The sequence below is a fragment of the Homo sapiens genome, chromosome 6 (genome assembly GCF_000001405.40).
Source record: "Homo sapiens chromosome 6, GRCh38.p14 Primary Assembly".
NCBI lineage: Eukaryota > Metazoa > Chordata > Mammalia > Primates > Hominidae > Homo > Homo sapiens.
The window spans coordinates 161,247,388-161,271,506 of NC_000006.12; the positions used below are offsets into that span (position 1 = coordinate 161,247,388).

At 44.5% G+C, this 24,119-nt stretch overlaps 1 protein-coding gene across 1 annotated transcript in view, besides 1 other annotated feature; it reads right to left on the reverse strand.

The window, feature by feature from the left end:
* Window positions 1-24,119, reverse strand: part of AGPAT4 (1-acylglycerol-3-phosphate O-acyltransferase 4) — a 144,095-nt gene that overhangs the window by 117,421 nt on the left and 2,555 nt on the right. The gene's annotated exons all lie outside the window — the stretch shown is intronic.
* Window positions 21,530-21,824: an enhancer, noted in NCBI's record as "tiled region #4197; K562 Activating DNase matched - State 5:Enh". NCBI's record gives its function as "activates a minimal TATA promoter and a strong SV40 promoter by Sharpr-MPRA in K562 cells {active_cell/tissue: K562}" and the evidence as "EXISTENCE:reporter gene assay evidence [ECO:0000049][PMID:27701403]".

The window sequence follows — 24,119 nt, forward strand, 5'->3', positions numbered from 1 at the left end:
AACATTTTGATTTGTTTTCTTCTATTCTTTGGCGAATGCATAAAGCTTTCCCCTCCCCTTTGCTAGATAAAACCATTTCAGAGGCTTTTTTTATTTTTAAATATATAGTAGTTGAACTCCTTCATGTTAAAAACTCTCAATAAAGTAAGTATTGAAGGAACGTTCCTTAAAATAATAAGAGCCATCTATGACAAACCCACAGCCAACACATCATACTGAATGGGCAAAAGCCGGAAGCATTCCCCCTGAAAACTGGCACAAAACAAGGATGCCCTCTCTCACCACGCCTATTCAACATAGTATTAGAAGTCCTGGCCAGGCCATGGTGGCTTACACCTGTAATCACAGATTTTGGGAGGCTGAGGTAGGTGAATCACTTGAGGTCAGGAGTTCGAGACCAGCCTGAACAACATGGTGAAACCCCATCTCTACTAAAATACAAAAATTAGTCAGGTGTGGTGGCACATGTCTGTAATCCCAGCTACTCAGAAGGCTGAGGCAGGACAATCGCTTGAATCCAGGAGGCGGAGGTTGCAGAGAGCTGAGATTGTTCCATTGCACTCCAGCCTGGGCAACAGAGTAAGACTCTGTCTCAAAAAAAAAAAAAAAAAAAAAAAAAAGTCCTGGCCACAGCAATTAGGCAAGAGAAAGAAATAAAGGGCATCCAAATAGGAAGAGTGGAAGTCAAACTATCCCTGTTTGTAGATGACAGGATCCTACAGCTAGAAAACCCCAGTCTCAGCCCAAAAGCTCCTCAAGCTGATAAACAACTTCAGCAAAGTCTCAGGACACAAAATCAATGAACAAAATTCAGTAGCATTCCTATACACCAACAATAGACAAGCCAAGAACAAAATCAGCAACAAACTCCTATTCACAACTGCCACAAAAAAGAATAAAATACTGGCTGGGCGCGGTGGCTCACGCCTGTAATCCCAGCACTTTGGGAGGCCGAGACGGGCGGATCATGAGGTCAGGAGATCGAGACCATACTGGCTAACACAGTGAAACTCCGTCTCCACTAAAAATACAAAAAATTAGCCGGGCATGGTGGTGGGCCCCTGTAGTCCCAGCTCCTCGTGAGGCTGAGGCAGGAGAATAGAGTGAACCTGGGAGGTGGAGCTTGCAGTGAGCCAAGATCGTGCCACTGCACTCCAGCCTGGGTGACAGCGAGACTCTGTCTCAAAAAAAAAAAAAAAAAAAAAAACTAGGAATACAGCTAACCAGGGAAGTGAAAGATCGCTACAAGGAGAACTACAAAACACTGCTCAAAGAAATCAGAGATGACACAACGAATGAAGAAATATTCCATACTCGTGGATAGGAAGAATCAATATCGTTAAAGTGTGCATACTGCCCAAAGTAATTTACAGATTCAATGCTATTCCTATTAAACTACCAATGACATTCTTCACAGTACTATTAATAGAAAAAACTATTTTAAAATTCATATGGAACCAAAAAAGAGCCTGAATAGCCTAAGCAAAAAGAACAAAGCTGGAGGCATCACACTATCTGATTTCAAACTATACTACAGGGCTACAGTAACCAAATGGGCATGGTACTGAACAAAAACAGACACATAGACCAATGGAACAGAATAGAGAGCCCAGAAATAAGGCCACACACCTACAACTATCTTATCTTCAACAAAGCTGACAAAAACAAGCAATGGGGAAAGGACTCCCTATTCAATAAACAGTGCTGGGATAACTGGCTAGCTATATGCAGAAGATTGAAACTGGACACCTTCCTTATGCCATATACAAAAATTAACCCAAGATGGACTAAAGACTTAAGTGTAAAATCCAAAACTATAAAAACCCTGGAAGATGACCTAAGCAATACCATTCTGGACATAGGAATGGGCAAAGATTTCATGACGAACACACCAAAGCAATTGCAACAAAAGCAAAAATTGACAAATGGGATGTAATTAAACTAAAGAGCTTCTACACAGCAAAGGAAACTATCAACTAAGTGAACAGACAACCTACAGAATGGGATGATATATTTGCAAACTATGCATCTGACAAAGGCCTAAAATCCAGCATCCATAAGGAACTTAAATAAATTTACGAGAAAAAACACACAACCCCATTAAAAAGTGGGCAAAGGACATGAACAGACACTTTTCAGAAGACATACATGAGGCCAGCAAACACATGAAAAAAAGCTCAACATCATGATCATTAGAGAAATGCAAATCAAAAACACAGTGAGATAGCATCTCACACCAGTCAGAATGGCTATTATTTAAAAGTCAAAAAATAACACATGCTGGTGAGGTTGCAGAGAAAAAGGAACACATACACCATTGGTGGGAGTGTAAGTTAGTTCAACCATTGTGGAAAACAGTGTCGCAATTCCTCAAAGACCTAAAAACAGAAATATCATTCGACCCAGCAATCCCATTACTGGTTATACACCCAAAGGAATATAAATCGTTCTATCATAAAGACACATGCACGCTTATGTTCATTGCAGTACTACTGCAGCTATTCACAGCTATTCACTATTGCAGCTATTCACAATAGCAAAGACATGAAATCAACCTCAATGCCCATCAATAGTAGACTGGATAAAGGAAATGTGGTACATATATACTGTGGAATATTATGCAACTATAAAAAATGAGATCATGGCCTTTGCAGCAACATGGATGGAGCTGGGGGCCATTATCCTTAGCAAACTAATGCAGAAACAGAAAACCAAACACCACGTGTTTTCACTTACAAGTGGGAACTAAATGATGAGAACACATGGACACATTGAGGGGAACAATACACACTGAGGCCTATCAGATGGCGGAGGGTGGGAGTAGGGAGAGGATCAGGAAAAATAACTAAGAGGTAGTAGCTTTAATACCTGGTGACAAAATAATCTGTACAAGAAGCCCCATGACACAAGTTTACCTATATAACAAACCTGCACATGTATCCCTGAACTTAAAATAAAAGTTAAAAATAAATATACAGTAGTTGAGATTTTATTTTAAATCTATTTTATATGCTCTTTTCTAGCCTTTAATGTGAAATCATATTCAGTTGCCATATTAGAATATAAATATCCTTCTCATAATTATACTAGACATATCATAATTATTACCTAATTGCCTCATTATTATATTTAGGCTTCTTTGTGTTTTTTCAAGAATAAATAGTGCAATGTTTAGCAATTCTGGGCACAAACCTTTTTTTTTCCTGAATTTTGGGTTATTTCTTTGCAATATATTCCCAGAAACAACATTTCTGCATTCCAGAAACAAACATTTTAAGGTACCTAGTGAATATTGACAAATTGCTTGTATTGCCAAATATTGCCAAAATATTTGTAGCTGTTTATATTCTTACTAGCAATATATATAAATACCCATTTCACTACATGTTTGTCAGCAATAAGAATTCTCATTTAAAAACAATGAAAAGCAAAATTAAATCTTTATACAGTCTTACATTAAACTGCATTTCTGAATGGCCATGAAGCTGCATGTTTTAAAGTATTTATTAAATGCTGTTTCCCCTCCATGACTTTTTTATTGATTGTGCCTTTATCCCTTGCATATTGCTTTCTTAAATAGAATAACATCTCGCCTATTCCATTTAGAGTGACCAACTTTTTCAGTTTGTTTATTTTTATTCTTAGCTTATTGGAGGTTTAAATTACGATGAAGTAAGAACTGTAATTTCTTTCATAATGTTTAAACTTAGGGCTTCCTTCTACGCTTATTTCTTATCCTGCAGAAAACTGATAAATGTTCACTCATTTTATCTAGTTTTTCTATAGTTAATTTTGTTTTTAGCTACTCAATCCATCTTACACTTATTTTTGGTTACAGTCCTCTGTGAAGATTTAAATGGATTTCCAAATAGCTAACCAGTTGTATCCAAGGCATTTGTTGAAAGATCCTTCTCTACCTCATTGATTCCCATGCAGTCTCTCCTACATCGAATACCAATAAACAGACATGAATTGAACTGTAGGGGTCAATTCTCTAACTATTCCTTTGATAGATGAGAAAGCTGACAGCTAGAGTGTTAAGTGACCTGCCTGTCACTCAGCTGGTCAGAACAAAGGAGGGCTCCACCAAGCTTGTGTGCCCCCAGCTCTTTCCTTGGCCTTGCTCTCTTGGCCTCTCCACCTGATCTCCTCTTCCTCTCCCAGAGGCTGCACAACGTTACCCTGCATTACAGACCAGCCTGTCCGGCCGCTGGTTAAAGACCCGCAGGGAGGATGGAAGCTGCGCCTGAGAGCTCCTGCAAGTTCATTTGTGCCAACGTATTCCCAGGTGGGAATGAGGGGAGCCAGGTGGATGCCAAGCCCACTTCCCGGGCCTTACGTTTCCCATTCAAACATGGGAGACGTGCTCTTGATACACATAAGGGCATTGATAGTTTACAAATCTACCTATAGGGCAGTTTCTGCAGGAGGAACAAAAGCAGAGAGGGGGAGCAGCCATTTAGATTCTTCTAAAGGGATACATTACCTGTTACAGATTAGGGAATGGAAGGCCTATGATGGTAGGGAATTGTAATTATCTTCTTAACCCATTTATGCTGGAGAGTATAATTTTTTGAATTTTTGCATGAGTGAAAAATCAGACCTTGGTGATGACCTTGAGCAGGAGGATATAAATAATTCCCACATGCTTAGCGTTCCAATAATGGAACACTAAGTTCCATAAGTGGGTTAATGGTTATAACTCAAGTGCCAGAACAGGAATGTGTGCAGCAGTAGAGGGTGTAACGAGGCCTCTAGAGGCCCCGAGACCACCTTCCTTTGACAAAACTACGGCCTCTGACATGGGGTTGTGGGTGGCAGTCAGTGACTCGTTTCTTGCAGTGGTAATAGGAGAGTCCTCTCTCCAACCCAGACATTTGCTTGATTCATGGTTATTTTGGGTAAAAGTAAATAAAAGTTTCACGTTGCGAATTCCCAAACTTTGGGGAATTCCTTCATAAACTAGATGAATTCTGTGTGTCTTGAATTCTGCTTTTGCTTTTAGGTTATGAGCTCCTTCAGGGTCAAATATATTATAAATGAATTAGAAAAAATTGTGAACAATTATAAATGAATAAATAGAAAATAATTATAAAATCTGAAAAGGAAGATTCAGCAATTTTGCTTCTTCTAGAATTCTTTGAAAATACAATTGGACAGGCACAGAAGCTCACGCCTATAGTCCCAGCACTCTGTAAGGCCAAGGCGGGAGATCTCTTGAGCCCAGGAGTTGGAGATTGGTCTCGGCAACATGGTGACAAAAAATACAAAAATAAGCTGGTCATGGTGGTGCACATCTGTGGTCCCAGTCACTCAGAAGGCTGAGGTGGGAGGATCACCTGAGCCTGGGAGGTTGAGGCTGCAGTGAGCCAAGATCACGCCACTGCATTCCAGCCTGGGTGACACAGTGAGACTCTGTCTCAAAAATAAAGAAAATACAATTAAGTCAGAACAGAACGACTTAGGAGGGTCAGGAAAAACAATGAGGAAGTGTGTTTAGTGACACAAAGATGCTTACAATACAGAGTCTACAAAAATGTATATGAGTCTGGGAGCTGTGGCTCACGTCTGTAATCCCAGCACTTTGAGAGGCCAAGGCAGGCAGATCATGAGGTCAGGAGATCGAGACCATCCTGGCCAATACGGTGAAACCCCGTCTCTACTAAAAGTACAAAAATTAGCTGGCATGGTGGTGGGCACCTGTAATCCCAGCTACTCAGGAGGCTGAGGCAGGAGAATCTCTTGAACCCCGGAGGTGGAGGTTGCAGTGAGCCAAGATTAAGCCACTGCACTCCAGCCTGGGTAACAGAGCTAGACTCCAACTCAAAAAAAAAGAAAAAAAAATGTATATGATATGATCCAACTTTTTTTAATTTTTTTTTTTTGAGACGGAGTCTTGCGCTGTTGCCCAGGCTGGAGTGCAGTGGCGCAATCTCTGCTCACTGCAAGCTCCACCTCCCAGGTTCACGCCATTCTCCTGCCTCAGCCTCCCGAGTAGCTGGGACTACAGGCACCCGCCACCATGCCCAGCTAATTTTTTGTATTTTTAGTAGAGACGGGGTTTCACGGTGTTAGCCAGTATGGTCTCGATCTCCTGACCTCTTGCTCCCCCCACCTCAGCCTCCCAAAGTGCTGGGATTACAGGCATGAGCCACCGCACCCAGCCAATATGATCCAACTTTTAAAAGGCAAAAATAATATGTATCTCTCTACTTAAATTTTAAAAATTATAAATATTTTATTTGTAATATAAATAAATATATTGCACCCCCCAAGATTGAAATTCATGTTTCCTTCTATGTTTTTATTCTTTTACTGTATTATTTAACATATGTATTCACAAACAATGTGCAATTTATAATGTCTGAATCCTTTCGTGAGCTCCTTTCTACATTCAACACTGCGATTTTGAAATGTTACATATCTAGTTTTAGTTATTTTAATTGCAAAGAGTATTGCTTTGGATGACTACCCCAAAATTAATCTATTCCCATACTGGCGGACATTCACATTACTCCCAATTTGTTTTCAGTGCTACAGACAATGCAGTAATGAACACTGGACTTGGAACTGCTGCCTCATTCTGACATGCACACCTCTGATTTTACTATATATTAACAAATTGCTTTTTAAAATGGTTGGACAATTCACACTTCAGGTGGATGTTTGGGGTTAGTGAGATAATAGGAAATACTCATTTTCTTCTTTATGCTTCTCTGTATTTTCTAATTATTCTATCAAAAGTATTAACCACTTGGTCAATATATTTAACTTTTTTTAAAAAAAGAAAAACTTTTCTACTGCATTTTTTAAGATCACATGAGTATGTTAACATATGTCACTTGATATTGAAAAAGCTCTGTGACTTACTAGTGGACCCATTGTACAGCTAAGAAAATAGAGGCTCAGGGAAGTCATGACTTATTTTCTTTGGTCACTAACCTGCTCAGGTCCCTACCTTCTCTGATCCTCAGCTTCTTCCTGTCATTCACATCAGCCTAACTGATAACACTATTGAGGGCATAAAGTAAGATGAACAATTAGAAATACTAAAACATATTAAGTGATTCATATACATATATACGTTTAGAGGCAACTCGTTCAGCGAATATTTATAGAGCCTCTACCGCGTGGCCCTGGTGATCTTTTCTCACGGCCATGTTCTTTATGTCCTTTCACTCCTCTGCTTACAGTAAGAAATAACTAAGTATTGGGAAATCGAGGAGAAAATGCCTTCTTACAAACCCTCCAGCTTCCATTCCACTCAGTCCTTCTCATGGAAAGCAGCATGGGTTAGCAAATCCTTAGATTTACTGAGGCTACTTACAACTTCTTCTGTTAATCCTTGGTTCTAAGCTTTAACATTCATTTAATTCTCAAAGATCTGTAAATACCGACTCAATTTAGAGAACAAACATGGATTCAATACTAAAAGCCAGTGTGTTTGGGTTTCACATCATTGTCTTCAAAGGACTTCCTGGTTTCTAAGAAAGCAAATCCTGGCAAGGCTGGAGAGCTCCAGAAATCCAGCGCCTGGGCTCACAAAAGCCAGCCCTGACTTCGCGAAGAAAAAGCCTCAAACTGCAGAACACACCCGGCAAGCTGTTCTTATCGTTCCGAGGCCATTGCAGAGCCAGATACGGTTACACAGCCCTTCTGAAGCAAAGATACACTAAGTCTAGACAGGCCCTGGTTCCCTGTGATAAACTCCAGATCATCACCACCACAGGGCCCTGCTCCCAGCTACTTCATCTTTCCCTGTAATACCTCACACATCCAGTTCTCCTTCATTAGCTCTATGATAATGGCTTGACGTAGGTCCAAAGAGCAAAGGAACTTGGATTTGAAAGTCCGAGACCCCTCTGCAAAATACCATTGCTTCTTTCGCTTCAGAAAAGATTTTGGGAAGTGAATGAAACACATCCAGCTGTAGTTCTTCTGATGTTAGAATTACCATATGACCCAGAAACTCTACTCCTAGGAATCTACTCAGGAGAAATGAAAACACACATCCACACAAAATCTTGTACACCCACGTTCACGGCAGCGTTGCTCTCGATAGCCAAAGGCCGAAACAGCCCCAGTGTTCATCAACTGATGCGTGGATAAATACAATACAGTATATCCATAAAATGGAATATTCTCCAGCCACAAGAAAGAATAAATTAATTACTGATACATGCTACAACATGAATGAACCTCAAAAACATGTTATATGAAAGAAACCCGTCACAAAACACCACATATGGTACGATTCGGTTTATATGAAAGGTTCGGACTAGGCCAATGCATGGAGACAGAAAGTGAACTTGTGGTTGTCTAGGGCTGGAGGGGGCAGGATGGGGGAGTGACTGCTGATATGTACGGTTTCTCTCTGAGGTGCTAAAAATGCTCTCAAAGTAGATAGTGGTGATGGTCGCACAACCATGAATATACAAAAAGCCATTGCACTGCACACTTGCAATGGGTGAATTTTATGGTATATAAATTATATCTCAATAAAGCTGTATGTAAAAACAAAGAAAAAAACACTGGCCCCACAGAAGACAAAACATAAGCAGAGTCAGCCTTCAGTCCACACAGCCATGTCAACACATAGAGGGACATGCTGTTTAGATGAAGGAAATGAGCTGCAGAAAGGAGTCAGGGAGTTTCAGCCTGCAGGAAAAAGCCACTCCACCCTCACCCAGGCAGAGCAAGGTGTCCAGGCGAGGCCGGTTGGCAGGATGTTACTGCCCACCACAGCACTTGCAGGAAGTAAAACAGATCCCCCTCAACTGAAATGATCTCGGAGACTGGTCCTTAAGTAGGACTGGCCCTTACCCTGGATCCTGAGTATAGGCAATGGGCAAAGCTGGAAGGATACGAAAACCTGGCTAACACCCTAAGTTTCCCAGGCAAGAGGAAATCAACCCCAGGCACGCATGGTGACGGCAGCGACCGCCACCATCTAGAAGAATTAGGCTTTGTGCCTAAGATTGGGGAAAAGTCTTCGGTGGATCAAATATTTTGTTCTCCTTCCTGTGAGGCTGCTTTGAAAAGCTGAGATTAAACACTCTGCTGATGTTCCTCACCACCAGCGCTGCTCTCTGCCGTGTGTCATGGATGAACACATTTGCTGTGTTCACATGAAATGTGGGGAGAAGTTCCAGGGCTGAAATACGTGACAGACATGACACTCGTGCTATGAAACCAGCTTCCTCTGATAGCCACACAGCGGAGCTGACACGTCCTCCCTGAAGCAGGCTCGGGAGGCAGAGACGGCGTCTGATGGCTCCCCCGGTCCCTGCAGCCTGTACACAGTCGACACTGACAAAGAGCGTTCCCGAAAGAAATCTGGTGGATTGCCAAAAGCTTCATTAATTAATGAAATCAGTGGGGAGATAAATAATTGAAGGGAAAGAAATGGGTTCATCAGTTTGGCAACACTGAAATTTTCATGCATTCTGCCTAGGAGACGAATAAGCCCACAAGACAGGCATCAAGAATGGATGTGCCTTTTCTCCAGTTTTAGGTCTGGGAGAGTTTCCACTTTCCCAAAAGTCAGCCTTTGGCATCACGTTGGAGACGCCTGTTGCGAGCTCCCTGCAGACCAGCCACCTTAGCCAGTGGGCGTGGAGGCAGAGGTCTTCACTTTTCCTCTAAGTCCTTACTAAGAATTTTCCTGTGCCCTAAATGAGATGTTGGAGATGGGGGGAAAGTGGCAATGAAAACAGCACTTGTTTCTAACATGAACTTTGGATCAGGATAAAAGTAGTAAACTTAAAATTAGATGAATGCTAAAATGTTCCAAATATCCATCACCCGGTGAATAAAGAAGCAAGAGATGGTACAGCCACAGGACGGAAGACCACTAACAAGAAGGAACCAGTCCCGGCTCCATGCATGCCACGGGTGGATCTCAAGCATATTATGCTAAATGAACAGAGCCAGACACAGAACAATACATAGTGAATTATCCCACTCATAGGCAATACCTATCAAAGGCCAAATTACAGACACAGAAACTGGATCACTGATTGTCTGAGCTACAGACACATGTGAGGATGGATCCTGTGGGCATGAGGAGACTTTTGGGATGAGAGAGGCGTTCTAAGCTGGATTTTGGTGATGGTTACACAACGCCAAATTTACCAAAACTCATTGAACTATACACTTAAAATGGGTGAATTTATGGTATGTAAATTATATCTTAGTAATGCCATTAAAAAATTAAATGAAGACAGAAGTTTTTAAAACTGCTGAAATCCAACATCAAAAAAATGATCAAAGGGTTCTTGAAATATGAGAAGTCAATTTAAATTAATTTTCTTCATGGAAATTAAAAAGGAATGTGGACAAGAAGGAGAAAGAGAAGAAAAAAAAAGGAAAGACAGCGTTAGTCCCACCTTCTATTTCATATGGAAGTGAATACAAGCTTATTCTGTTGTTCCATTAGCTATGAACCCATCTGGTCCCAATCCCCAGGTCACCATCATATACACAAGGATGTGGTGACGCAGTCTGTCAAATGTTTACTTTACAGGATCACCCTTGCTCTGGCACTTTCTCAACTGACTCACCCAGTAACGGTACCAATGAAATAAGTGAGGTTAACTCAACATGATTTAGTTTTGGCGCACACATCCTGGCTCCATGGGATCATTTATTACTTCCTACGTTAAAACACTTGGAAGGAAAAAACTCCTGCGTGCCAGAATGAAAGTTCTAGTATTTACACTTCTCAACTTTTAAAAACAAGGAATTTTACTTATCTCCAGTCTTATGACACTTTTTTTCCTCCATGAGACCTCAAAGACTGAGAGTGGCAGTTCAGAGATGAAAACTCTACGTCCATTGTCTTCCCTAAAAAGTGACTTCCCTTGGCTGCAATAACGGAAGTAACTCAAAATGACTGCACTCCCATCTTCAGGCTGTTCTATCCTTTCCCATTTGAAAACAAATTTCCTGCAAACGGGTTGGCAGATTCTCCAAATACCTGAGAGTATCCAACAACCATTTTTAGACTTTTGTTTTGTACAAAGTTATCTTCTCTGAATCTATAAACTTTTCCACCTCTTGGTGGAAATTTTCAAATGTATATTTATGTTCATGTCTTGAATCATAAGACAAGCAAAATACAGAAAGAAAAAACACAACTAAAATTGACACAAGAGAGCAATAACCTCTCACAGTCCTAGAAAACAGGAGAGTTCTCTTATCTGGGGCAACTTCAGCTTTGGACTTCACCACCTATATATGTTGGGAGATGGTTCTTATTTCTCCTCCCCACCCCACTCCCCGCAAAAAACACAGAAACACCATCCACAGAGAGTCATTACTCAAGCTAGGTTGTAGCAAGACTTGGTTGAAAGTTTAATCACATGGCTAGATGTGAAAGACTTGGGGACTATTTTACCACAAGCATTTAATTTTTTTTTTTTTTTGGAGAATGAGTCTCACTCTATCGCCCAGGCTGGAAGTGCAGTGGCACAATCTAGGCTCACTGCAACCCCCACTCCCAGGTTCAAGAGATTCTCATGCCTCAGCCTCCCAAGTAGCTGGGATTACAGGCGCCCGCCACCAGGCCCAGCTAATTTTTTGTATTTTTAGTAGAGACAGGGTTTCATCATACAGGCAAGGCTGGTATCAAACTCCTGACCTCAAGTGATCCTCCCGCCTCAGCCTCCCAAAGTGCTGGGATTACAGGTGTGAGCCACGGTACCCGGCCTTAAATTCTTTTCAATTGACAAATAAAAATTGTACATATTTATGGTGTACAACATAATGTTATGATATACGTTTACACCGTGAAATGATTAAATGAAGCTCGCTAACGTATCGATCACTTCCCATACTTATTTTTCTTATGATGAGAAAGTTTAAAATCTATTCTTTTAGTAATGTTTAAATACACATTATTCTTAGTTATGGTCACAATGCCATGTAACAGACCTCTGCACCCCTGAAGCTTTAACAGCACCAATCATCCTTTCTATACTGAGATAGTCCTAATATGACCTTGGCTGTCCGCAGCGCGTATGCTTTGAGTTGCTGGTGATCACGGACTTTTGTAGAGCCACCCGGTCTTTTGCAGGGCGGTCTGGAGTTGGTTGAGTCTAGAGTTAGTGAGTTTTCACACATGTGCCACACTACCAGCACGTGTGAAAACTCACTAACTCTATACTCAATGCAGGAAAGGCTACAGCATTTGCCAGGCCTGGTCAAAATGAGAATGTGGGGTTCCTTCTTCAAAAACTATCAAGAATTTCAACAAGGGAGAGCAGAGCCTTACCCCAACTGTGGGGTCCCAGGTCACCGCACAGTTCACATGCCCAGGAGGACTCTCTGGCTGAGTGGCACCTTGAGCTTACCAACAGGGCAACTCCTCAAATGTGACCAAGGAAGAGAGTTAAGAACTGCCGAAAGAAAATGAAAGTCTTCCGGACAGGGGTCCACTTTTTACAATGTCAGCACCTAGCTCCATGGTATCTATGTGCACGCTGCACCCCCAGGGCCGAGTCGTAAGTTCACCATTGAGTCACATCCTGGTTCTTGCTTCCCTTCTCAGACCCATCCAGGAGTTGCACTGGAGGAAACTTCCATTCACCTGGCGCTATACGTGTTTGGGGCTGGGGAGTCTCTGGAAGTGAACTGCGTGCCACTATAACAAGCCAAGAACAGCATGTGGGGACAGGGCTTTAACAAAAGCACAGTGGGATCCAGCAGCCTCTCACTGCTTCAGGCTTCAGTGAACTGCTAGGAAGACGGAGGGGCCATTACTCCCACCGCACATGGGAGTGTCCTCTTCCTCTTAGCCCTTTCCATAGGCGATGCCTTTCATTCCTGCAGACAGCGTTTATGAAAGAACCAGCCTGGGGAATGAACACTGACCAGTCCCAAGGAGCTTGTCAAACTGCAGGAAAGCAAGATAAGAAATTCAAGTTGTAGAGTCCAAGACTAACTGCTACTCTCTTGGAATGTGCAGCGTGGTTTGAAAATAAAAAGCCAGGCCTGGCACAGTGGCTCACACCTGTAATCTCAGCACTTTGGGAGGCTGAGGCAGGCGGATCACTTGAGGTCAGATGTTTGAGTTCAGCCTGGCCAACATGGTGAAACCCCATCTCTACTAAAAATTAACCAGGCGTGGTGGCACACACCTGTAGTCCTAGCTACTCAGGAGGCTGAGGCAGGCAGGAGAATCACTTGAACCTGGGAGGCGGAGGTTGCAGTGAGCCAAGATTGTGCCACCGCACTCCAGCCTGGGCCACAAAAGGAGACTACGTCTCAAAAAAAAAAAAAAAAAAAAAAAAAAACAGGATTCAGCCTGGGCAACATGGCAAAACTCCCTCTCTACACAAAATACAAACATTAGCTGGGTGTGGTGGTGTGCACCCATAGTCCCAGCTACTTGGGGAGGGCTGAGGCAGGTGGCTCACTTGAGCCAGGGAGGTCAAGGTTGAAGTGAGCTGTGTTTGAGCCACTGCATTCCGGCCTGGGTGACAAAGTGAGAGCCTGTCTCAAAAAAAAGAAAAAATAAATAAACGTCAGGGTTAGGACACCTGATTTCACCAGGCAGGGCCATGAGGAGGTCAGGAAATCTCCTTAGAGGAGTGCACACTGAACCACGTCTTCGCCTTCTAGAATTTCCTGAGCAGGGCTCACTCTGGTGCTCCGAGCTCGTGTATTCCGTTCCACCTGCCTGATGCCCTTCCCTCCCCCTTTTCTCCCACTGTTGACTTGCCAAACATGTGTTTATCCTTCCAACCCCTGCTTAAGCCAGCTCCTTCTCCTCCCTGCCTCCCGCTGAACAGTCAGGTGCATCTTTCCCTGTTTCTCATGGCCCCTTCTCTATTAGCCATGAAGCTCACTGTCACAGAATGTGGCCACTTACTGACTGCACGAGTCCATGAGACAAACAACAGAAAAGACCCGGCACAGTCCTGGGCCACATGACGTTGACAAGTGCTATTTCCCTTCGTGTGTATATCTGCCATCCCACGAAGCAGGCTTCCTCAGGAGCTGAGTGTCTTTCACCATCATATCCACAGCTCCCAGCACAGACCTGGCATGAGAGGTGGTTAATAAATATCCATAGAATGAATGAACTGAATGGTCAGTCACATTCACCACACTGCTCCAGGGAAACGCCCGGCTCACGGCTGACTCATGATGGGACCTGTCAGAGGGACGTAGCTGCTACCCTGAGACCGGGTAAGGCATCATCATTAACAAAGCCAACGGAGGGATATTTTACCTTCCACAAATCCAGCTAATCATGTAGTGTTTGTAAGCTACATTTGACATGGGACAAGTCAGTAATTGAGCTCTACCTCTTTTCTAGGAATACATGTTTGTAAGGGGGTTTCCTCCACCTGGTTTTGCCCTCTTTATTCCTTTTCTCTTTCTTTATGAGTGGACCTTCGGCTTCTGACTGCATTTTCCTAGCACAGAGCTGTGAATGCTGCATATCCAAAGAGGCTGGAGAGTGAACAGGCATTGACCTTCACACCTGGGTAGGGGCTCCTGGGCCAGAGACCCAGTTTGCCTGTATGAGCTGTGCAGCCCTGGGAAGACTGCTGACCCCCAGGCTCCCCATCTGTGAAATGGAGATAAGAAGAGTTCCTAGTCGAGGGCTGGTGGTGAGGATTATCCGTAGACCTTTGCCTGGTACATCATCTTAAATGTCGCTGTGGTCATCATTATCATCACTGTGCCATCACCACAGCCTGGGCCCTGGCTCTGGGTTTCTTTTTTTTCAAAGTCACCCTCTTCTGGCTAGCCACCCTCCTTCTATCCTGAGGTTCCAGTCCTCTCAGCCCATAATCATTTATAGAACTTAAAAAAAAATGAGCCTGAATTGGTTGGTCCAAGGTGGGGCCCAGGAAGTCCTTTTTAAAATGCTTCCTAGGTGATCCTCATGTGCAGGCAATGTTGAGAACATGGGTTAGACTCTGCTGCCAGGACCTGAAAAGCGTGATGGAGCTGCAGCCATGGTGGCCAGCTGCCGCGTCTGTCCCTGCCACACAGGGGCTACTTCCCACTGCTGTGTGTGAGCTCCCCAAACCCCAAACTCTTCCACAGCTGGCTCTATACTAGCTCATTCCTTTTTTTTTTCCCCCTCCTCATTATTCTCTCATAGCAAATAAAACTTGGTTTGCTTGTCCCTGGGCAAAGTCCCCAGCCTAGAGTTCCTCCTTCCACATCTTATTGTAAAAACACAGGCTTACTGGGGCTCTTAGGGGCTGAGTTCTCCCCTTCTGACCCACTGCAAGCTCTACCCCACTTCTTCCTTTGCTCAGAAGGTTTGGGTCCGATTATTCTTCAGTCCCACGGGGGAGTGAGACCCTCATAGTGAGGGGCACCCTTTGGGTAGCTTCTTGGGACTTGAACTGGTACATTTCACACGCCTCTTTTGTTTTGAGTTCAAAAGATAACTCCAGTGAAAAAAACCTCTAGGAGAACATGAGGATAACGTCATAAACAGTGCTGATGAAAGATGCCAGCGAGCCGTGAGAGCTGAGGTGGCCAGTCCTTGTCTGCAGGGAATGACCGAGGAAGAGAGGCCAGGAGGAGCAAAGCAAGCCCTGGGCTATTCCAGAGAAAGCGAGGGAAGGCCCACCAAGGCGAGTGACCAGAGGCAGAAGAGACAGACCCAAGCCACCCTCCATCCACCCATCAGACCATCAGAAGAGACAGAGAAGGAAAAAGAGCAAAGGCAGACATATTCTCGGCGGCGGTGGGCGGGGTGTTTCTCACACCTGCCTGCCCCACCCCACCCCACCACCAAGATTCCCAGCCACCTTGGATGCTTAAGGAAGGTGCATTTCCCCCGGTGAGGAAAGCTATATAGAAGCTGCTGAAGACCAGGCTCTCTTTAAAAAGACAAACAACAGGCTGGGCGCAGTAGTTCATGCCTGTAGTCCCAGCCTGGCCAACATGGTGAAACCCTGTCTCTACTAAAAATACAAAAAATTAGCTGGGTGTGGTGGCGGGCACCTGTAATCCCAGTTACTGGGGAGGCTCAGGCAGGAGAATTGCTTGAATCCGGGAGGCAGAAGTTGCAGTGAGCCAAGATCATGCCACTGCACTCTGGCCTGGACAACAGAGCGAGACTCTCTCGAAAAACAAAAACAAACAAGAAAAAGACAACAGTTCAGCCATTGGGGAAGACAGAAGGAATGGAAAGCAGGAGATAAGTCCTAATGTGGCAAAAATTGGAATGAATATAAATAATTAAAAGAATTAGGCACATTTAAAATATCTCTCTGGTCCTCTCCCCCGACCTCCTCTCAAACTTTAACCCTATTATTCCTCTAGAGATGGAGTCCAAATGAGGATTTCAGTGACCCCCACAACATCTTCATTACATCATCTGGTCTTAAGTAACTTCCAGATTTCCACATGATTTGGGGGGCTGTGATGGGAAGTTTCTGCACATTTTGAAACAATGGGAAGTCTTTTCACCCTAAAAGAAAATTCAGGAAAATTTCAGGAAAGGCAAGAATATGAAATGCAAGTCCATGTAATTCTGTTACAATATTTAGTAAAATCACAGTGTGCTCAGGCATTGCTAGCTCTGTGGCTTTGGGAGGGTTAGTTAACCTCTCTGTGCCTCAGTTTCAAATTAGATTAGAGAAAATAATTGGCAACCCACAGGGCTGGGGGCAAGCTGAAATGAGGTGTTATACAAAGCAGACAGCTTCTAGTAAGTGCTGCGTAACACATGTTGATTACAAAGTACATAAATGATCACCTTATAAGGTGTAATATGATAAGTGACCATTTGGGAAGAATATGATTGGAAAGTGACCTTCTTTCTCCCTATATTTACTATCTCAGGGCGTCAAAGACACCCTCCATACAACAAGTTACCAAACCCTCCTGGCTTTCAGACCTGTGCCTCTTCTGGGCCTCCCCTCCCAGAGCTGCAGGATGCTCAGCCTCTCTCTGCTTCCTGCCACGCCAGCCCACCTCATTCCTCTGTGGTCTAGGAAAACTCCAGCCTCCTGCCCTGTCCCACCTCACCCACTGGCCCACTCCTCTGGTCTCTGGCACTCCGTGAGAAGCGTGCACACTGGGACCAATACTCCCCACTTCCAGACCTAACGTGGGGGCTGTTCTTCTCTAGGAAGTATTTTAGGAAGCCCAGACTGGGCAGGGGTGGTGAGGTGGTCCCCCTGGCGTGCCCGCGCATCCCTGCCCTGCAAGTCTTATCCACTGCGTGGGAACCCCTCGCTGAGGCTTCCGTCTTGCCCTCTGGGCAGCAGGCTCCTCAAAGGCACTTGCAGGGTCGGCTCCCTCTTTGTATTCCTGCGGGCTGAATGCACGGGCTCCCTAAGAAACGCTGAAAGGGGATTCTGGAGTTGGGTGGGGAGTTGGAATAACTGACCCCACTTCTGTTGACCTTTGAGAGCCTGAAAGCGAGAAGGGAGAAGCGAGATGGGAAGATAAAAGGGAGGGACACAGCAGTTATGGAACCCCTAGGGTCACCCAGGACTAGTTATGGGACCCCTAGAGTCCCCCAGGGCTGGGGAGCTGAAGCCTAACTTCAGGCAGGGCAGGGTGCTGGTCCTGGGAAGGAAGTAAAGGTGGCCCCTCCTGTAAGTGAGAAGCACCAGGGACGGAAAGGGAAAGAAAGGCTTGAAATACCAGCAACTGTGGGGATGGATGCTAGGAGGCAAATTAATACTAGTGAGACCTGGTTGGTGGACTAGTACCCACTGCTGGACTGGGTGGTGGATTAGTACCCACTGCTGGACTGGGTGCTGGATTAGTACCCACCGCTGGACTGGGTGCTGATTAGTACCCACCGCTGGACTGGGTGCTGGATTAGTACCCACCGCTGGACTGGGTGCTGATTAGTACCCACCGCTGGACTGGGTGCTGGATTAGTACCCACCGCTGGACTGGGTGCTGATTAGTACCCACCGCTGGACTGGGTGCTGGATTAGTACCCACCGCTGGACTGGGTGCTGATTAGTACCCACCGCTGGACTGGGTGCTGACTAGTACCCACCGCTGGACTGGGTGCTGGATTAGTACCCACCGCTGGACTGGGTGCTGACTAGTACCCACCGCTGGACTGGGTGCTGGATTAGTACCCACCGCTGGACTGGGTGCTGATTAGTACCCACTGCTGGACTGGGTGCTGGATTAGTACCCACTGCTGGACTGCAGGGGCGCAGCACTCACTGTGAAGGTCAAGGAAACAGTAATGAAATCCCCAGGTGGGAGCAGGTTTGTGAGTGCCTCTCTCAATTTGTTCTTGAGATATGTTAATCTGTTCACTCCAGAGAGGTTTGGAAAAGGAGGCTCCCTTAGCTGGTGGGTGGGGAGGGGAACGAGGAGGGCCTGTCTGCACAGATCTGGGTGTGGAAGGGGTCCTATCAGGCCACCGAGCCTGGCCCATTTCCTCACTGCACCGGGCTGCCTTGGTGCCAGCATGACCCCCACGCAGACTTATCAGGGCAGAAAGCACTAAATATTTGAATACTTTACGGCCACGTGTCTACTTTTAAGTTGGTTTACTATTATTTTTCAATTCCCATGTAAAGTATTTCTTCATTTAAATTAATGAATTGCCACTTTGGTTAGGACCCTATTAGTCCTCAGAAATGGGTTTGCTTTGATCGGACCAACCGGATTCCTGAGTGTACCTGACAGAGCCGGGAATTCCCCCTCAAGCAGTGGTTCTCAGCTGTGGGCAAGTTTGTCCCTCTAGGGGATTTTTGGCTGTCACAAGTAGGAGTGGGGTGACTACTCCTGGCATGTAACAGTTAGAGGCCAGGAATGTGGCTGAGCATCCGATTCTGCACAGGTTGGCCTCTTCCACAATAAAGGATTAATGGGCCCAAAATCTCAACATCGAGATTGAGAAACACCTCGCCCTCAAGGAATGTCACCCTTGAGGCCCTGGCCAGGAGGCCAGCGATGAGGCAACCCTGATGACCTGACTTCTTGTGCCCATCTCTTCTCTAGGCCACAACACATATTCAGTGCTGGGTACTCTGCTCTATGCTACAAACGATGCGATCATACCTCCATGCCATGAATGAGCACCCAGTGCAGTTATGAAGAGAGGACTGTAATCATTGTCATGGCATGTAATTATGCATCTAGAAAGAGTGACTGTTTTATGAAGGGTGAATGGGGTGATGGGAGAGCGTCAGGAAAGCAGAGGCTGGAGGCAGATGCTAGAAATGGACTCACAGGCATAGAAATGGTTCCTATGCAGGCTACCCACACAAAAGGCCGAAGAATCTGCTCACCATCCGCCTTGCAACCTGCCCTTCCCCCAGCAGAAAAGAGACAAGAAAAGAAATGAGCCTGATGACTTACTCCTGGGACGCAGGACACAGTCTGAGATGATTGCATTGATTGTCTGCTGATGGCTGCAGTATCCTGGGAAGAAGATGTGCTTGCATAGACAGATAGTTCTTTAAAATTTCATCCGCCTCGGTTAACCTCTACCCACAGAAGACTGACAGCTCACGAGGAGCCCATGGAGATGGGCAAGAGACCAAATTTCACTCCAGGATCAATTCAAGTCTCCCATTCTCATTTCAGAGTTGATCTAAGATAAGCACTGGCAGGGTCTTTGCAGATAATAATCTGCCTTTAAACCCCGTGGTGGATTTGTGGAAAGTCCACTGAAGAACAGAAAGCCTCTGACTCCATCCACCCACCGCCTTGGGAACTCTGAGAGCAGCCACCACAGGTGTCCTTGAGAGCAGCTGCTCAGTCAAGTTCAATCCTGGGTTACACATTGGTTTTGAGAAGAGTTCATCTTTAATTTAATGTATGTACTGCATTGTCACTCAGATGGTTTTAATCACAAGGCCCTTTCCCTTCTCCCACCATCTCTGGCTAAACCATAATAAAAACAACACTCCCTGAAAACTATAGTAGCTTGTCTTATAAAGTACTGCTGTTAGTTTTTCTCCAAATTCTAAAATACTACCCTTTCTTGCAGTAATTTTGCTGTTCTTAACAACTGGGATGAAAGGCATGCAGAGGTCTACACGGTAGAGATTTGTTCATTATTTGAAAAATATTAGCTGGGGAACGGGCGCAGTGGCTCACATCTGTAATCCTAGCACTTTGGGAGGCCACACTGGGCAGATTGCTTGAAGTCAGGAGTTCGAGACCAGCCTGGCCAACATGGGGAAACCCTGTCTCTACTAAAAATACACACGCAAAAAAATTAGCCAGGTGTGGTGGCGCACCCCTATAGTCCCAGCTACTCAGGAGGCTGAGGCAGGAGAATCGCTTGAACCCAGGAGGCAGAGGTTGCAGTGAGCCAAGACTGCGCCATTGCACTCCAGCCTGGGCAACAAGAACAAAACTCTGTCTCAAAAAAAAAAAGAAAAGAAAAATATTAGCTGGGCATGTTAGTACACACCTGTAGTCCCAGCTACTTGGGAAGCTGAAGCGGGAGGATTGCTTGAGCCCAGGAATTCAAGGCCAGCTTGAGCAACAAAGTGAGACTGGCCTCTTAAAAGAAAGACCAGTCTCACTTTTAACATTTTAAACAAAACTAAAAAATAAATTTACCACATATCTGTTATGTGCCAGGCTCTGCACTGGGCATGGGAGACAGACTGTGGAATATGCCATGGCAAGGTGTGAAGGTACAGGGGAAAGCAGAGCCCAGATGATCTGGGTTAACGTCTCAGCTCTGCTCCTTCTTATGACCTAGCTGAGCTGCTTAATCTCCCTCATCTTTACTTTCTCTCTCTGTAAAATGGAGCACGATGAGAGTTTTCACACACTAGCTTTGTTATGAGGCTAAAATGAGTTAATAAATGTGAAGTCCATGTACTGGCACATAGGAGGCCCTCAGTGAAGGCAGGCTGTCATCATTCTTGCATATCCTGTAAGTCAGCCAGTCACCTCAGTGTCTCTAATGACCTCTGCAGGTTACCTGGCATAAACTAGACTGAGGCATCATCTCCTACAAGAATTTCTTTTCTCTTCTATAAAAAAACAAAACGGGATACATGTGCAGAATGTGCAGGTTTGTTACATAGGTATGCGTGTGCCATGATGGTTTGCTGCACCTACTGACCCATCCTCTAAGTTCCCTCCCCTCACCCCACTCTCCAACAGGCCCTGGTGTGTGTTGTTCCCCTCTCCTTACAGGAATTTTAGTGTCTGGCTTCAAACTAACATAAAATTCAAAATGCACCTCTCGTCTTGGAGGATCCCACACAGAAATGACCATGAAGTAGTTATGATGTTTAACCTAAACAGAGCAGAGATGCCCGTGCCAACCAGAGTTATTAGGAACAGCTTCATGCTGATATCATCTGAGTTTAAAATAACCAAGAAAAAGAAGAACTTGCTAAATGTTTTCTCCCAAGGTCAGCCAAGCAGAGGAGTGTGGTTTTCCAGAGGAACTTTGTCATGTTGTCCATATAATTTCCAGGCTGACGGTGGAACTTAAGTGGGGGAAAATAATTCTACTAAGAAGAGTTTCATGACATCAGAAAACACAGAGAAAGTGCTGCAACGAGGTCTCAACACTGTTCGTGTTGGGTCTCTAGAGCCACCACTAGTTTCTGGATGCACTGCTGTTACTATTAAGAAAGCTGTAGGGGGTTGAAACCCACTTGTTTTTATCAGAACAAGACAGAGACTTGCAGTGTATTATGGGAAATCAGCTCCAAAGGACATGAGGATATTCAGTGAACTAATGGGTATGTAATTGGACGCAGGTAGTTTTTCTTTTTTAAAATGCTATACTTTGAGTCGATGTGGGGGGAGCTGTTGTCACCTGGAAATCTATGAGTAATTCACTATGAATGGGAACCTTGAGAGATTCTCTCTCTCAGATTGTTCTTTCAGAAAGAGAATACACAAGCCTTCTCTTCCTCTGTGTCTCCTGCGTTAGAAATTCCACTCTTCCCATTTAGTTAATTAACAAATGTTTACCATCCTTATGCTCAACCAGCATGGAAGGTACAAAAAATATATAAAATGGACAACAGTCAACAGCTAACCACTTGATCCCTCCCTGCCCAGCACAGTTTATGCTGTGTGTGAACAATTTATAAAATTGTTCAATGAAAGAAGTATCCTGTTTCATTGGCCAATAAATGCTTCTATTAGAAGTGATACCGCCAGGGCAGGCGCGGTGGCTCACGCCTGCAGTCCCAGCTGCTGGGGGAGGGGGGCTGAGGCAGGAGGATGCTTGAGCTTAGGAGTTAGAGGTTGCAGTGAGCCATGATGGCGCCACTGCCCTCCAGCCTGGGTGACAGAGCGAGACCCTGCCCACCCCCCAAAAAAAGTCATACCCCCATGGTTTAGAGGCTGTCTCCACATTGTCTTCCTGATAGTTCTTAAGCTTCTTTAAGGAAAAACCAGTTTCCCGTTTATTGCTATATCTATAATATACAGTGCCTGAGACATGATACTCAACACTATTTGTTGAATAAATGAAGGGATTGGGGGTGGATAGAGGACAGATGGATGTATCATGTATGTGTGAATGGATGAAGGAATGGTGACTGAAAGGTAGGACTTAGGATCAAAGGAAGAAGTAGAGCAAATTAGATCGGAGAAACAAGATAACGACAAACAATGAAACCAATGGGAAATCTTTGTGGAGCAAGAGTGTGCCAAGGAAAAGAAGACAGGTAGATGGATTGTTCCATGACAATGTTGAAACAAATTATACTCCTTTTAAGATATTTCCTCTTATTCAGTCATTAGAAGAAAATGGGTATCTGCCAGTCATGGGGTTTCCCTTGTAAACCCATTTGAAAACTATAACTATTTAAACTGTATCTTGTTTTGCTCACAGTTGCATCTGTGGGACCTGACACCTATTAAACACGTAATAAACAGCTGTTGAAGAAAGAGTTCATGCTTTAAGCTTCCTCTTTCCTACAGCCTGGCAGCCACTGCAGACCTTCCCAAGCCCATGCATGAAGCCAGGTTTCAGAGTTCCAGCGCTTCCTTTCCAAACTGATTCTCACACAAAGAATAATGAATTTGAGTTGCCCAAGCTCTAGGAAATGTTACATGATTATTATGATTATATTTCAAAATAGGAGTGATGAAAGGCGTTTCACCAAAGATTTAGAGGTCAAACACCATTCAGAAATGTGAATGTGGGCCAGGCACGGTGGCTCACGCCTGTAATCCCAGCATTCTGGGAGGCCAAGGCAGGTGCATCACCTGAGGTCAGGAGTTCGAGACCAGCCTGGCCAATACAGTGAAATTCTATCTCTACTAAAAATACAAAAAAATAAAAAATAAATTAGCTGGGCGTGGTGCCACATGCTTGTGATCCCAGCTACTCGGGAGGCTGAGGCAGGAGAATCGCTTGAATCCAGGAGGGGGAGGTTGTGGTGAGCCGAGATCACGCCATTGCACTCCAGCCTGGGCGACAGAGCAAGACTTCATCTCAAAAAAAAAATAAATGTGAATGCGGCTTTGTCCCATAACCATCAGACCTCCTTTCCAGAATAAAGGAGACTGCACAAAACGTGTGACATTTACCAAACCCTCATTTGAGCATCCAATAATTTAAAACAATGGCAATGGCAGGAATTATGAAGATGACATTCCGGGTAAGTTCCTGGTTGCGTCTTCCCCAGTTTCATACCTGTTTAAAGTCTAGTGTAAGTCTGGCCTTTCGTTGTTAAGCTGAAGCTAAAAAAGTATTGGATTAGGAAGGATTCTGCCTTCTGTTCAGTCTTCTAACAGTCCTTCTTTTTCTGATTAAGAAAAACTTCTGTCCCCAATTTACATCTACTTATGCTTTCAACCAGCACAGAGTATACCTGCTCTACTTCTATACTAAAGACTGACTTCTCCCTTCTTGGAGTTAAGAACCCTGAACCATGATCCATTTCTTACCATCCACCTTTGCTATCTAAGACACCCTCTCCTTCTTCCCTTGAACCGTCTGCCTCCTCTCCTATAAAGCTTCAGCAGCAGGATGAAGACTCTCTAGTATTCTTCTCATACTAATTGCGTCTCCTTGACTGGCTGTTGCCTCCCCCTTCCTTCCAGCTGGGTGCTCTGCTCTTCTTTTCGCCACCCGTTTGGTGGATTTTAAGCTTGAGAGCACAGACTACAACTGCTGCCTTCTTCACCAACTTCACAGCAGAGCCTTGCAGACAGTAAAA